At 36.7% G+C, this 15694-nt stretch overlaps 1 protein-coding gene and 1 long non-coding RNA gene across 5 annotated transcripts in view; both read left to right on the top strand.

Moving 5' to 3' along the window:
• The window catches only part of NPHP3-ACAD11 (NPHP3-ACAD11 readthrough (NMD candidate)), a 164322-nt gene that overhangs the window by 125953 nt on the left and 22675 nt on the right, over window positions 1-15694 (top strand). The window lies entirely within an intron of this gene.
• ACAD11 (acyl-CoA dehydrogenase family member 11) overlaps window positions 1-15694 on the top strand; it is a 101669-nt gene that overhangs the window by 63303 nt on the left and 22672 nt on the right. The window lies entirely within an intron of this gene.

Genomic DNA, 15694 nt, shown 5'->3' with positions numbered 1-15694 from the left:
AAGGCCAGGCTCAGTCTCCACCTGCAGAAATTATTTCAGACCCATGCCATTTTTTCTATTTTTCTCTTTTTTAAAAAAAAACTTTTAAGTTCAGGGGTACACATGCAAGTTTGTTACACAGGTAAACATGTATCATGGGGGTTTGTTGTGCAGATTATTTTATCACCCAGGTATTGAGCCTAGTACCCATTAGTTATTTTTCCTGATCCTCTTTCTCTACCACCCTCTACCCTTTGATAGGCCCCAGTGTGTTTCCCTCCATGTGTCCATGTGTTCTCATCTTAGCTCCCACTTATAAGTGAGAACATGCAGTATTTAGCTTTCTGTCCCTTTGTTAGTTTGCTAAGGATAATGGTCTCCAGCTCCATCCACGTGCCTGCAAAGAACATGATCTCATTCTTTTTTATGGCTACATAGTATTCCATGCTGTATATGTACCACATTTTCTTTGTCCAGTCTATCATTGATGGGCAAATATTTAGGTTGATTCCATGTCTTTGCTATTGTGCATAGTGCTGCAATGGACATATGCATGCATGTGTCTTTATAATAGAATAATTTATATTCCTTTGGGTATATACCCAGTAATGGAATTGTTGGCTCGAATGATATTTCTGTCTTTAGGTCTTTGAGGAATTGCCACACTGTTTTCTACACTCCCACCAACAGTTTGTAAGTGCTCCTTTTTCTTCACAACCTCACCAGCAGCTGTAATTTTTTGAGTTTTTAATAATAGCCATTTTGACTGGTGTGAGATGGTATCTCATTGTGATTTTGATTTGCATTTCTCTAATGATCAGTGATGTTTAGCTTTTTTTCATATGATTGTTGGCGGTATGTATGTCTTCTTTTGAGAACTGTCTGTTCACATCCTTTGCCCACTTTTTAATAGGGTTGTTTTTAATTGTAAATTTAAATTTCTTATAGATGCTGGATATTAGACCTTTGTCAGATGCATAGTTTGCAAAGATTTTCTCCCATTCTGTAAGTTGTCTCTTTACTCTGTTGATAGTTTCTTTTGCTGTGCAGAAGCTCTTCAGTTTAATTAGGTCCCATTTGTCAATTTTTGCTTCTATTGCAATTGCTTCATCATGAACTCTCATAGTAGTCTACAAGATCCCACAAGGTCTGCCTCCATCCCTCATTGTCTCTCTGACCTCATTTCACACTACTCACCCCTTTGCCTACTTGTTCTGCCATACCCAGCTTCTTGCTGTTTGAGAGCATACCAGTCACAATCCTATCAGGGCTTTTGTGCTGGCTCTTCTGTCTGCTGGAATGTGCTCTGTCTTAGTAATTGCAAAGCTCACTTCCTCTTCTCTTTCAAGTCTTTGCCCAATCACCACCAGCTCACTGAGGCAATTCTTCACTACTCTACTTAAAATAACCCTCATCCATCTGGACTCCCAGTCCACCAGACCCATAGCACTTAACATGTTCTAATGCACCATATCATTTATGCTGTGATTGCTGTAATTTGTCTTTCACCCTGTATTAGAACATAAGCTTCATCAGAACAGGGACTTTTGTTTGCTTTGTTCATTGATATATCCCGAGTACCAAGAATAATACCTGACACATAATGACTACTCAAAAATATTTTGAATTAATAAAAACATTCTACTGTCCATTTTGATTATTATCTAACAACTGGTCTGCAACTGCAGCCTCCATAATTATCAGATAATAATCTCTTTGATCTTTCTATATGATACACAATACTGACTTTTAGGCATTTGCAAGTACTATTATTCCTGTCTAGAGCACTCTTCCCACCCTATTTTAGTTCCCTAACTCCTATTTACAATTCAGATTTAGGTCTGACCTTAACATTAATCCAGGAAGCCTTCCATAACTCTTTCAGATTAGATCAGATATACCAGTCTTTTCACTGTATTGTTGGTACTTATTTAAATTTTCTATCTTCCATAGCTATCTTATACCCTGCTGTATCCTCAGCATTTGGCTTGGTACCTTACTCATGGTACCAGCTTAATGAATAATGATTAAATTCATGAATCAATCAACTGATATTTAAGTAACTTATCCTCCACAGACATAAAGTTTAGCAATGGAGCTGGAGTTCTAAATTCAGATCTTTAGTCTATTTTATCATCTTATCTCTTATATCTCTTTATTTTATGATGCCATCTATTATAGAATCTTGATACTCTTTTATAGATTCAAAAGTATCTATCCCTTTCCTTTATTTACCCCACCCCCAACAACCATAAGCTTTTTTGTAAATGGGATTCCTTTATTGCAAATCGGTTGTAATGCTATAATCTTTACATCTTTTGAATTTACACATTGTTTTTGCTAATTCAGACACATACAAAGCCCTTGAGGCATAGGGGATCTCAGGATTGAGCAGCTTCCTCTGGTAGCGTGTGTATGAATGCTGTGTATAAATCATAGTGTATGAATCATGGTGAAACTAGCTGACTGGCTGGCCTTTTCCTGTATTTTCCCTTTTCTCCTGATAGAACTAGGAGAGACAGTGGTAATAGGGAAATTTGACAAAATACGTGAAATAATCATGTAGCTTAGAGGGTAGGCAGAAGCATCACTCACCTTAGGCAACTTTTCAAAGTACTTACTTGATGCTTCTTTAGCTCTCTTCTACTTCTCATATTCCTTAGAACTGACTATGATTCCATTTTGCTGCTTACCATAAATTGGCTCCTACTCTTAACCTCCCTAACATAGCAATGTCCCTTGTTCTTGAAGAATCTCTCTCCCCACACCCTCTTCTCATCCCTCCTCTTGTACTGTCATTTTGCTATGTTGCCCAGCCTGGCCTCCAACTCCTAGACTCAAACAATCCACCCATCCTGGCCAACAAAAGTGCTGGGATGAATCTGTAATTTTGATGAATATTGCCAAATTGTATTCCATAGGGATGGTATTACTTTGTTCTCTACCAATAATGTATAGAAATGTCTGTTTTTCTAAAATATTGTCAATAGAATGTGTTGTTTTACTACCACTTTGCTTTCTAAATGACTTGTAACAAATTCAGCACCCCTTACCTACCCTTGCCAGGCATGTGTGGAATACTGGATAATAAACTGCTTTTGAATGTTTTCATTATTGCTGTACTCCACGTTTATTTGATTAGTGGTAAAGTTAAGCAATTTTAAAAATCTCTTTTATTATTCTTATTTCCTCTTTTTGCAATTGTGTTCTTTGCCCATCTGTATACTGATTTTTAGGTGTTCTTTATAATTTAGGGAGCTAAGTATTGCATACATTTTGTCATAAATGTTGAAACATTCCCCCCCAATTTTTTTTTGCTTTTAAATTTTATTTTCTAATGTACAGCAGTTTTATATAGACAAACCAATTGATCTTTGTCTGATTTTGATTTCATTTATCATTTTTAAGTTTTAAAATCCTTTCTCACCCAGAGATTTAATAAATATTATATTATTTTTCTTCTAGTTTTTTTATGTCTTGGTTTTTTTTAATTTTCAACTCTGCTCTATTTGGGATTTATTTTGATCTAACCATTTTCTATAGTAACAACAGTAATAGCAGCAGCTTGTAACATTATTACTTAATTCTTATTATTTAGATGTAAACCTAGAGATGGATTCAGTGAATTTTGAAGATTTCCCTGTTAAAAATAACACACACTCTAAGAGAACACATGGGATTTTTTTTCTTTAACTGTGGGATTGTACAATGAACATCTTTTTTCATATAAGGGAAATTTTATTGTAAAATAGTACTTACTCCAATTTGAATTGTTAGTATTAAAGCTAAAACCAAATGAAGTTCAGGTGTTCTACCTCAGAAATTCTATGTTGGTAGAAGAAACGGCCTTGAGAATTTGTGGATGGCTATCTATGCTTCATAGTATGTAATTGTTTACATCACTTTCTTAATTGTTACAAACCACACTATACTCAAAGGTCATGTTTTTTTATCCACCTATCATCTCTCCTTTTGTTAGAAAATGATTTTGTGGGTAAAAGCCTAAGAAATTAAAAATCATCAACTAACATCAGGGAGATGTAATTTTTAGCCTGACTTAATCCTGGCACTTGAACAGCCTTGAAATACCACAGTGTCTGGATTAAAAACAAAATTACTTTATCTAAGCCATCTGTTTTCATTCATGAAGGCCTGTGACACAGCATATATGTTTAAATGTTCTCTGTTCTATTCAGATTTCCTCTAATATATTTTATTTATGACATTGGGTATCTTGTTCATTAACTAAAATGACACAAACAAGCAAAACTCTCTATAAAAGAAGGTTGTTTCAACTGCTGCACTTGCCAAATTCTGCTTGTAGCTAAGGGGAGATGATATCTTTGGGAAGGGTTTTTCTCATTTTTCTGAAACATCATTGTTAAATACAAATATTTCAAATTCTACAAACTATGTATTCACCCTTACTTCCTCTACTTCATGATGACAACAGACATCCAACTTAAAAATTGTATTTTTTAGAATATTAATTGTTCTCCATATAAGATTGAGGAAGACAGAATCAAAGAATTATTTGCCTTACTTCTTGAGTTTCTTCAAAATTTACCTGGTATCGGAAATCTATTGGGCATTTATATAAGGCTGTGGCAACATTTTTGTTTCTTTGCTTTGTTTGGAGACAAAATCTCACTCTATTGCCTAGGCTAGAATGCAGTGGCATGATCACGGCTCACTGCAACCTTGACTTCCCGGGGCTCAAGCAGTCCTGCCATCTCAACATCCCGAGTAGCTGGGACTACAGATGTGCTGCACCGTGCTTGGTGAATTTTTAAATTTTTTTGTATAGACGAGGTGTCGCTAGGTTGCCCGGGCTGGTTTCAAACTCTTGAGCTCAAGCGATCCTGCCACTTCAGCCTCCCAAAATTCTGGGATTACAGATATGAGTCATCATGCCCGGCCAACATTTTTAAATGATAGAAAGAATGAGGTAAGAAGTAATATTGGGAAATATTAGATACAAAATTATATATTCTGAATATTCGAAAAAGAGGGCTTTAGACCAGGGTTCAAAGGAATTAGAAGATTTTACTTCAGCTCACTGATGCTGGATAGCTAGCATCAGTGAAACCTTGAAAGATTTACCCAGATGTTCTTGATTGCCAGAATGGAAAGTAGAGAAAGAAAAATATCTCTGAAAATGGGCACATAGACCAATGGAACAGAATAGAGCCCAGAAATAAGGCTGCTCACCTATGACCATCTGATCTTTGACAAGGCTGACAAAAACAAGCAGTGGGGAAAAGACTCCCTATTCTATAGATAGTGCTGGGATAACTGGCTAGCCATATGCAGAAGATTGAAGCTGGACCCGTACCTTACACCATATACAAAAGTTAATTCAAAATGAATTAGAGACTTAAATGTAAAACCCAAAACTATAAAAACCCTGGAAGATGACCTAGGCAATACTGTCCTAGACATAGGGGTGGGCAAAGGGTACATGACAAAGACACCAAAGGCAATCACAGCAAAAGCAAAAATTGACAAGTGAGATCTAATTAAACTTAAGAGCTTCTGCATAGCAAAAGAAACTATCAGCAGAGTGAGCAGACAACCTACAGAATGGAAGAAAATATTTGCAAACTATGTATCTGACAAAGGTCCAATATCCAGCATCTATAAGGAACTTGAACAAATTTACAAGAGAAAAACAATCTCATTAAAAAGTGGGCGAATGACATGAACAGAAACTTTTCAAAGGAAGATATATATGCAGCCAACAAAATATGAAAGAAACCTCAATATCACTGATCATTAGAGAAATGCAAATCAAAATCACAATGAGATACCATCTCACGCCAGTCAGGATGGCTATTATTAAAAAGTCAAAAAATAACAGATGCGGGTGAGGTTGTAGAAAAAAAGGAACACTTAATACACTGTTGGTGGGAGTGTGAATTAGTTCAACCATTGTGGAAAGCAGTATGGAGATTCCCCAGAGAGCTAAATACAGAACTACTGGCCGGGCACGGTGGATCATGCCTGTAATCCCAGCACTTTGGGGGGCTAAGGCGGGAGGATCACTTGAGGCGAGGAGTTTGAGACCAGCCTGGCCAACATGGCAAAACCCCAAAATACAAAAATTAGCCAAGCATGGTGGCCATGCCTGTAATCCCAGCTACTCAGGAGGCCAAGGCACGAGAATCACTTGAACCTGGGAGCAGGGAGATTGCAGTGAGCTGAGATCGCGCCACTCTACTCCAGCCTTGGCAACAGAGTGAGACTGTCTCAAAAAAATCCAAAAACAAAAACAAAAAACCCAGAACTACCATTCAACCCAGCAATCCCATTACTGGGTATATACCCAAAGGAACAGAAATTATTCTACCATAAAGACATATGCATGTGAATGTTCATTGCAGCACTACTCACAATGGAATCAACCTAAATGCCCATCAATGACAGATTGGATAAAGAATATGTGGTACATATACACCATGGAATACTATGCAGTCATTAAAAAGAATGAGATCATGTCTTTTGCAGGAACATGGATGGAGCTGGAGGCTATTATCCTTAGCAAATTAGCACAAGAACAAATACCGCATGTTCTCACTTATAAGTGGGAACTAAATGATGAGAACTTACGAACGCAAACAAGGAAACAACAGACACAGAGGTCTGCTTGAGGGTGGAGGGTGGGAGGAGGGAAAGGAGCAGAAAAGATAACAATTGGGTACTGGGCTTAATACCTGGGTGGTGAAATAATCTGTGCAACAAACCCTAATGACACAAGTTCACCTATGTAACAAACCTTCACATTTACCCCCCAAACCTAAAATAAAAGTTTGCTTTTTTTAAAGAAAATATTTCTAATGAAAATGAACCTCAAATCATGTTGTTATGTCCTAATCTGATTTTCAGAAGTATGCCCACCATGGAGTATGCCCACACAATGCATTATGTGGGGCAAGTAGCGTTGATCCTTCAGCCTGTAGGCATCTAGAGAGGCACTGGCCAAGGCTTCCTACAACTAAAACCTCAAAGATAGTCCCAAGTAGAAAAATATCCAGTTGAAAAATTAGAAGTGAACGCTCTGTAAATGATTCTTCCTCTATAATTTCTAACTAAGAATCAAAGCATGATTGCATATTATTGCATAGCCAGGGATAAAAGATTACCCCAACTGAGCATTTCCAGATAAGTCATTTAGGTAAGATCCACAATGAAAGGTAAGTATTGTCATCTGCCATTAAATCATCCTAATGTTCTTTGGGTTGGTCCTCAGATTAGTGGAATTTTGTCATAGTCCATTCAGGCCACTATTACACAACACCATTAATTAGGTAACTTCTAAACAACAAAAATGTATTTCTCATGGTTCTAGAGGCTGAAAAGTCTAAGAACAAGGCACCAATAGAGTTGGTGCCTGGTGAGGGCCTGCATTCTGGTTCATAGATGGCACCTTCTTGTTCTGTCCTCATATAGTGAAAAAGGTGACCAAGCTCTCTCAGGCCTCTTTGATAAATACACTAATTGCATTTTAATCACTTAATCACCGCCTTTCGGACCAAAGGCTTCATCTCCACATAAAATCAGCTTGGGGGTTAGGATTCCAAAACATGACTTCTAGGGGGTGACATATACATTCAGACCATAGCAGTTTCTTTACCTGTTAGCATCTATAAAATCAAAAGGACATATTTCTGTAAATATAAACAATGATAAACAATTTGAAAATTTAGACGTTTGGATAAATTAGGAAAGCCAAATAGAGTTACTGTGAAGAATATGACATTTAAGATTTTTAAAACTTAACTTTGAAATATGTGAATGGGGGATCTTTTCTCATTAGTACAAATGAGGATGGTCCTTTCTGAACTGATTAAAACAAGATTCCATTAAATTTGAAGGAATCTAAATTATAAGCAACAGTTTTAAAGCCGTTGCATTTCAATCTTAACTATATTTTACGTATGTTATTTATAGTATGGAATAATGGAGGAGATTAGAATTTTAAGCTCTTGGTTTTATTGGTTTTGAAATTTTAGAGCTAAGATTTCTAGTTCTGCTTATGTGATCATTTTGAAGTGAGCATTGCATTTCTCAAACTTCAGCTGATAAATAAAACTCATATATTTGTCATGAATAAAAATGTATATTTGTATTCAAATATTAATGAATGTATAAGAAATTATAACACTGGGTAAGTGAAGACCTGATTTTTGGCAAAGTTTAAAGGTAAGAACTCTGGGGGAGTTCTACGCTAGTCTGGTGGAGTAAGTGCTTAAGATGAACCTTCCCACAGATAACAGCTAAAAAGCTACAAAATACCTACATGCATACATACATACATACATACATACATACATACCTGCCTGCCTGAAATTCTCAGGGAAGTGAACAAAGGCAAGCTGATTTTGTAGGGGAGTCAAAATTTGGAAAGTGAGATGGGCACAGGGTGAGTTTTTCATTTTTAGACTTTAGCCTGAGGAAACAGTGTGGAACAGGAAAGCTAAAGCTTCTTTAGAAAACTCAGATCTCTGTGTCCTGAGGAACCAGAGGAGAGTGTCTAGGGCAACCATCACTGCTGGGAAATGAGGTGGGTATTCCTGGAAAGGAAAAAGCCAGAAAAGGGGAGCTCCAGCTTTCATGTGGAAACTTTGCTTGGGTCTCTGGCTAACTCCTGAATGAAAGTAATGCGCAGGGCAAACTCAAAGCACCTTGCAGCTAAATAATAAGAACTACGCTGAAATTTGATTTCCCATCCACCTGAATTGTGATAGACTCTGCAGTTTTACTCTACCTAAGTTAATTGCCTGTCAAAACAAAACCATCAACATTCTGTGGAGGAATATGACAGAATCCAGAGTTTCAAAACAAAAAAATCACAATGTCCGGAATACAATCTAAAATTGCTCAACCAATGAAGAATAAGGAAAACATGACCCATTTTCAAGGGGGAAGGCCAACACCCAAATGATTCAAATGTTGGAATCATCAGACAAGGACTTAAGGCAGCTATTATAAATGTGCTCATTGAGGTCAAGAAAAATAAAACATTAAGAAATATCAGAAGAGAAATAGAAAACATAAAAAATAACCAGGTAGGAATATCAGAACTTAAAGGTAAAATATCTGAAAAGAAATTCACTGACTGGGCTTAATAACATAATGGAGATAACAGAGGAAAGAATGAACGAACTTGAAGATAGACAACAGAAATTACCCAATATGAAGAAAAGATGTAAAGAAATGAACAATCCTAGGGACTCTAAAATATGTGTGATTAGAGTTCCAGAAGAGGCAAGAGGGAGAGATTTGCATTTGAAAAAAGAATAAACTAAAAATTCTAAAACTGCTAATTATTTTTGATTGATATAAAATAAATGTGTTTAACCTGAATTAAGGGTCTTTGTTGTCTAATGTCAGTGCACGTACCAGAGTTTTGTTTTTTTGTTCTTTTTTGAGACAGAGTTTTGCTCTTGTTGCCCAGGCTGGAGTGCAATGGCGCAATCTCAGCTCACTCACTGCAGCCTCTGCCTCCCGGGTTCAGGCAATTCTCCTGCCTCAGCCTGCCAAGTAGCTGGGATTACAGGCGCCCACCACCATGCCTGGCTAATTTTTTGTATTTTTAGTAGAGACGGGGTTTCGCCATGTTGGCCAGGCTGGTCTCGAACTCCTGGCCTCAGGTGATCCGCCCACCTCAGCTTCCCAAAGTGTTGGGATTACAGGCGTGAGCCACTGTGCCCAGCCTATTATAGACTTTTTGATGCATGATAAAATGTTCTACTTGAAAAACATTACATTTTTTAACTTGTATTTATGAAAATGCTTGTATTTTTCTTTTAGTGAAAATTTATTTTCAGTATAATAGTTTCTTATTTTATCTAATAAGATGATGGAGCAAATGCCCAGAAGGGTAGAGAAAATGGTTTTTCTCTCTCAGATGTAATATAGACAATAAGTCATGTATTTGGGGGAAAAATGGGACAGATAATTTTGCCCAACATATTTGGTATCTGATTGCAGTGGGACATCTCTTGGTCAATTTAATGCATGTGGTTTTTTTTTTATTACACTTTAAGTTTTAGGGTACATGTGCACAACGTCTAGGTTTGTTACATATGTATACATGTGCCATGTTGGTGTGCTGCACCCATTAACTCGTCATTTAACATTAGGTATATCTCCTAATGCTATCTCTCCTGCCTCCCCCCACCCCACAACAGGCTCTGGTGTGTGATGTTCCCCTTCCTGTGTCCATGTGTTCTCATTGTTCAATTCCCACCTATGAGTGAGAACATGCGGTGTTTGCTTTTTTGTCCTTGCGATAGTTTGCTGAAAATGATGGTTTCCAGCTTCATCCATGTCCCTACAAAGGACATGAACTCATCATTTTTTATGGCTGTGTACTATTCCATGGTGTATATGTGCCACATTTTCTTAATCCAGTCTATCATTATTGGACATTTGGGTTGGTTCCAAGTCTTTGCTATTGTGAATAGTGCCACAATAAACATACGTGTGCATGTGTCTTTATAGCAGCATGATTTATAATCCTTTGGGTATATACCCAGTAATGGGATGGCTGGGTCAAATGGTATTTCTAGTTCTAGATCCCTGAGGAATCACCACACTGACTTCCACAATGGTTGAACTAGTTTACAGTCCCACCAACAGTGTAAAAGTGTTCCTGTTTCTCCACATCCTCTCCAGCACCTGTTGTTTCCTGACTTTTTAATGATTGCCATTCTAACTGGTGTGAGATGGTATCTCATTGTGGTTTCGATTTGCATTTCTCTGATAGCCAGTGATGATGAGCATTTTTTCATGTGTCTTTTGGCTGCATAAATGTCTTCTTTTGAGAAGTGTCTATTCATATCCTTTGCCCACTTTTTGATGGGGTTGTTTGTTTTTTTCTTGTAAATTTGTTTGAGTTCATTGTAGATTCTGGATATTAGCCCTTTGTCAGATGAGTAGATGGCAAAAATTTTCTCCCATTCTGTAGGTTGCCTGTTCACTCTGATGGTAGTTTCTTTTGCTGTGCAGAAGCTTTTTAGTTTAATTAATTGAAGTCAATTTTGTCTTTTGTTGACATTGCTTTTGGTGTTTTAGACATGAAGTCCTTGCCCATACCTATGTCCTGAATGGTATTGCCTAGGTTTTCTTCTAGGGTTTTTATGGTTTTAGGTCTAACACGTAAGTCTTTAATCCATCTTGAATTAATTTTTGTATAAGGTGTAAGGAAGGGATCAAGTTTCAGCTTTCTACATATGGCTACCCAGTTTTCCCAGCACCATTTATTAAATAGGGAATCCTTTCCCCATTTCTTGTTTTTGTCAGGTTTGTCAAAGATCAGATAGTTGTACATATGCGGCATTATTTCTGAGGGCTCTGTTCTGTTCCATTGGTCTATATCTCTGTTTTGGTACCAGTACCATGCTGTTTGGTTACTGTAGCCTTGTAGTATAGTTTGAAGTCAGGTAGCGTGATGCCTACAGCTTTGTTCTTTTGGCTTAGGATTGACTTGGCAATGCAGGCTCTGTTTTGGTTCCATATGAACTTTAAAGTAGTTTTTTCCAATTCTGTGAAGAAAGTCATTGGTAGCTTGATGGGGATGGCATTCAATCTATAAATTACCTTGGGCAGTATGGCCATTTTCATAATATTGATTCTTCCTACCCATGAGCATAGAATGTTCTTCCATTTGTTTGTATCCTCTTTTATTTCATTGAGCAGTGGTTTGTAGTTCTCCTTGAATAGGTCCTTCACGTCCCTTGTAAGTTGGATTCCTAAGTATTTTATTCTCTTTGAAGGAATTGTGAATGGGAGTTCACTCATGATTTGGCTCTGAAAGGAAAAAGTGGTACCAGCCACTGCAAAAACATGCCAAACTGTAAAGACCATCGAGGCTAGGAAGAAACTGCATCAACCAATGAGCAAAATAACCAGCTAACATCATAATGACAGGATCAAATTCACACATAAAAATATTAACCTTAAATGTAAATGGGCTAAATGCTCCAATTGAAAGACACAGACTGGCAAATTGGAAAAAGAGTCAAGACCCATCAGTGTACTGTATTCAGGAAACCCATCTCACGTGCAGAGACACACATAGGCTCAAAATAAAGGGCTGGAGGAAAGTCTACCAAGCAAGTGGAAAACAAAAAAAGGCAGGGGTTGCAATCCTAGTCTCTGATAAAACAGACTTTAAACCAACAAAGATCAAAAGAGACAAAGAAGGCCATTACATAATGGTGAAGGGATCAATTCAACAAGAAGAACTAACTATCCTAAATATATATGCACCCGATATAGGAGCACCCAGATTTATAAAGCAAGACCTTAGAGACCTACAAAGAGACTTAGACTCCCACACAATAATAATGGGAGACTTTAACACCCCACTGTCAACGTTAGACAGATCAACGGGACAGAAAGTTAACAAGGATATCCAGGAATTGAACTCAGTTCTGCACCAAGCGGACCTAGTAGACATCTACAGAACTCTCCACCCCAAATCAACAGAATATACATTCTTTTCAGCACCACACCACACCTATTCCAAAATTGACCACATAGTTGGAAGTAAAGCACTTCTCAGCAAATTCAGCAAATGTAAAAGAACAGAAATTATATCAAACTGTCTCTCAGACCACAGTGCAATCAAGCTAGAACTCAGGATTAAGAAAACCACTCCAAACTGCTCAACTACATGGAAACTGAACAACCTGCTCCTGAATGACTACTAGGTACATAACGAAATGAAGGCAGAAATAAAGATGTTCTTTGAAACCAACGAGAACAAAGACACAACATACCAGAATCTCTGGGACACATTCAAAGCAGTGTGTAGAGGGAAATTTATGGCACTAAATGCCCACAAGAGAAAGCAGGAAAGACCTAAAATTGATACCCTAACATCACAATTAAAAGAACTAGAGAAGCAAGAGCAAACACATTCAAAAGCTAGCAGAAGGCAAGAAATAGCTAAGATCAGAGCAGAACTGAAGGAAATAGAGACACAAAAAACCCTTCAAAAAATCAGTGAATCCAGGAGCTGGTTTTTTGAAAAGATCAACAAAATTGATAGACCTCTAGCAGACTAATAAAGAAGAAAAGAGAGAAGAATCAAATAGATGCAATAAAAAATGATAAAGGGGATATCACCACCGATCCCACAGAAATACAAACTACCATCAGAGAATACTATAAACACCTCTATGCAAATAAACTAGAAAATCTAGAAGAAATAGATAAATTCCTCGACGCATACACCCTCCCAAGACTAAACGAGGAAGAAGTTGAATCTCTGAATAGACCAATAACAGGGTCTGAAATTGAGGCAATAATTAATAGCTTACCAGTGAAAAAAAGTCCAGGACTAGATGGATTCACAGCTGAATTCTACCAGAGGTACAAGGAGGAGCTGGTACCATTCCTCCTGAAACTATTCCAATCAATAGAAAAAGAGGGAATCCTCCCTAACTCATTTTATGAGGCCAGCATCATCCTGATACCAAAGCCTGGCAGAGACACAACAAAAAAACAGAATTTTAGACCAATATCCCTGATGAACATCGATGTAATGCATGTTGTTAAAAAATTTTCTGTCCCAGTTAGTTAAGAGTCCTCTCTCTTCCTTTTTAGTCGTATATAAAATCATTTATATGCATATATGATTGCATGTTCTTACAACTCTGAGGCTGTGACTATGGAGAAAGCAGGCTTACAATTCAAGTTCTAAGTCGGTTTAAGGTGTCTCCTTATTCTACCACCAGCCTGGAGGTGAACAGAGTCACCCATTTTAGGCACACTGCCTTCCTCTCCTTCCCTCCCTTTCTCAGATAATATCTATTTTAGGTGTTTTTTTTTTAAATCAGTTTTAGCATTTTGTCAGAGAGTGTGCATGTAGGATTTCTGGAGTTATGTATTACATAGAAGTGGGGAAATGACTCCTCCACAGCCCTCAGATTAGATATTCAGATTAAAAGCAAATTCAGAAAGAAAAATAAAACATTGTAGTTCACTCAACAAGCCTCTCAGTCTCCTACTTGGGAATCCACAGATTTGTTTACAAGATGGGTTTTTTTCTTTAATGTTTTTAAAGTCATTATTACCCAGTTAGAAGTAGTAACAAAGGAAAAAATATCTGAGAGCATTGTTTCCCATGTCTCCACATCCAAACATCATGCCCTACAGAAAACTCTTTTTTTTTTTTAACAGTTTCTGTTTGTAGTTCTCTGGTTTCCATTATAATTGTAGATAAAATATTTTTTCTCTTTCTTAATTTATTCATTTTAGACAGTATCCATTGGCTCTCCAATTTGAATAATGACAATTTCACTCATTTGTCTCATAACTCTCTCTGCTCTTTCTTAACGTATTTATCTTATTACATTGTTTTTTGTTGTTTTTTTATTTTTTAAACCTCAAATAATTGTTAAAGTTCTCTGCATCCTCATTTCACAGATTCTATTCAAGCTCTACTTTAATATAAGAATATGTATACTCTTAACCCTTTCTACACTCTTTATCCCTCCCTTTCTTATTGTAACTTGTATCAGCTACAGCTTATACTTTCACATTTTCAGGATTACTAATATTTATATTCTGTCTTGCAGCCACAACTGTAGTTGACTACAGGATAACTGTAAACTTTGAAAACCAATACATAGCACTTATCTTAGAGGACCATGTAAATATTGTTTGATGCTGGCCTAAGTAGTGTGTTAGATTTTGTGTCCTTCTGTAACTGATGCAATATAAAATCACCTGGGCCATTCTGAGGACTGTTTCTAGAATCAAGGTCAATTAGAATGCTTTTCTCATATACTATATATTAAATTCATGTCACATTATTTTATATTTGGACCACAGTTCACTTGTGCATTTCAACATTATTTTCCTGGAGTTTCTAATTGCCATGTCTCTTTATTTGCATTATTTGCTTTTATAATATCTCCTTCCCCTTACATATACACACATCTCTAGATTGCACCTTTACTTCTATTGACTTTCTTTCCTGGAGACTTCTCTCTTGAAGACTTTAGTATTTATTTTCCAATCTGGACTGATTACCCTTTAGGCATACTTTGATGCAATTATTCTGGGATTTTCAGATAATACTTTCCTGGGATCCATTATCTTTTGGATTCTAAGACTTCCTTTCTCTTGACTTACTCCCTTATTTTGCTCGAGTATATTCTTAATTTTTTGAGAAAAAGTACATAATAGTTAAATTCTCTGAGATCTTACATATCTGAATATGTATTTATTCTTCCATTACATAAATTGATAGTTTGGACAAGTATAAAATTCTAAGTTGAACTATTCATTTTCATCTAGCATCCCTGGTGGTTGTTGAGAAGTCTGATGCCAGACTAATCCTCGGTCCTTTTAGTTGGCTTGTTTTATTCTCTCTGAAACCTTTTAAGATTTCCTCTTCTTTGTTGATGTTTTGAAATGTCACAAGCATTTATCTAATAGATTCTTCTTGCTAGTCAATGGCTTTTTCAATCTGAAGATGTTTTTCTTCAGTTCTAGAAAATGTTCTTCTGCTCATTTCTTCAATAAATTATTCCCTCTGTTTTTCTCTGTTTTCTCTTTATTTGACTCCTTTTACTCTGATGTTAGACTTCATGTTTTGGCTCTAAGTGTCTCTTACATTTTTGGCCAGTCATTCTCTTTAATATTGCAGGTTCTTTTTACATACTACAGATTCTTGGTTTTCTATTCACACTTAAGA

The sequence above is a fragment of the Homo sapiens genome, chromosome 3 (assembly GCF_000001405.40).
Source record: "Homo sapiens chromosome 3, GRCh38.p14 Primary Assembly".
Classification (NCBI taxonomy): domain Eukaryota; kingdom Metazoa; phylum Chordata; class Mammalia; order Primates; family Hominidae; genus Homo; species Homo sapiens.
This window is presented reverse-complemented; position numbering and strand designations above follow the sequence as displayed.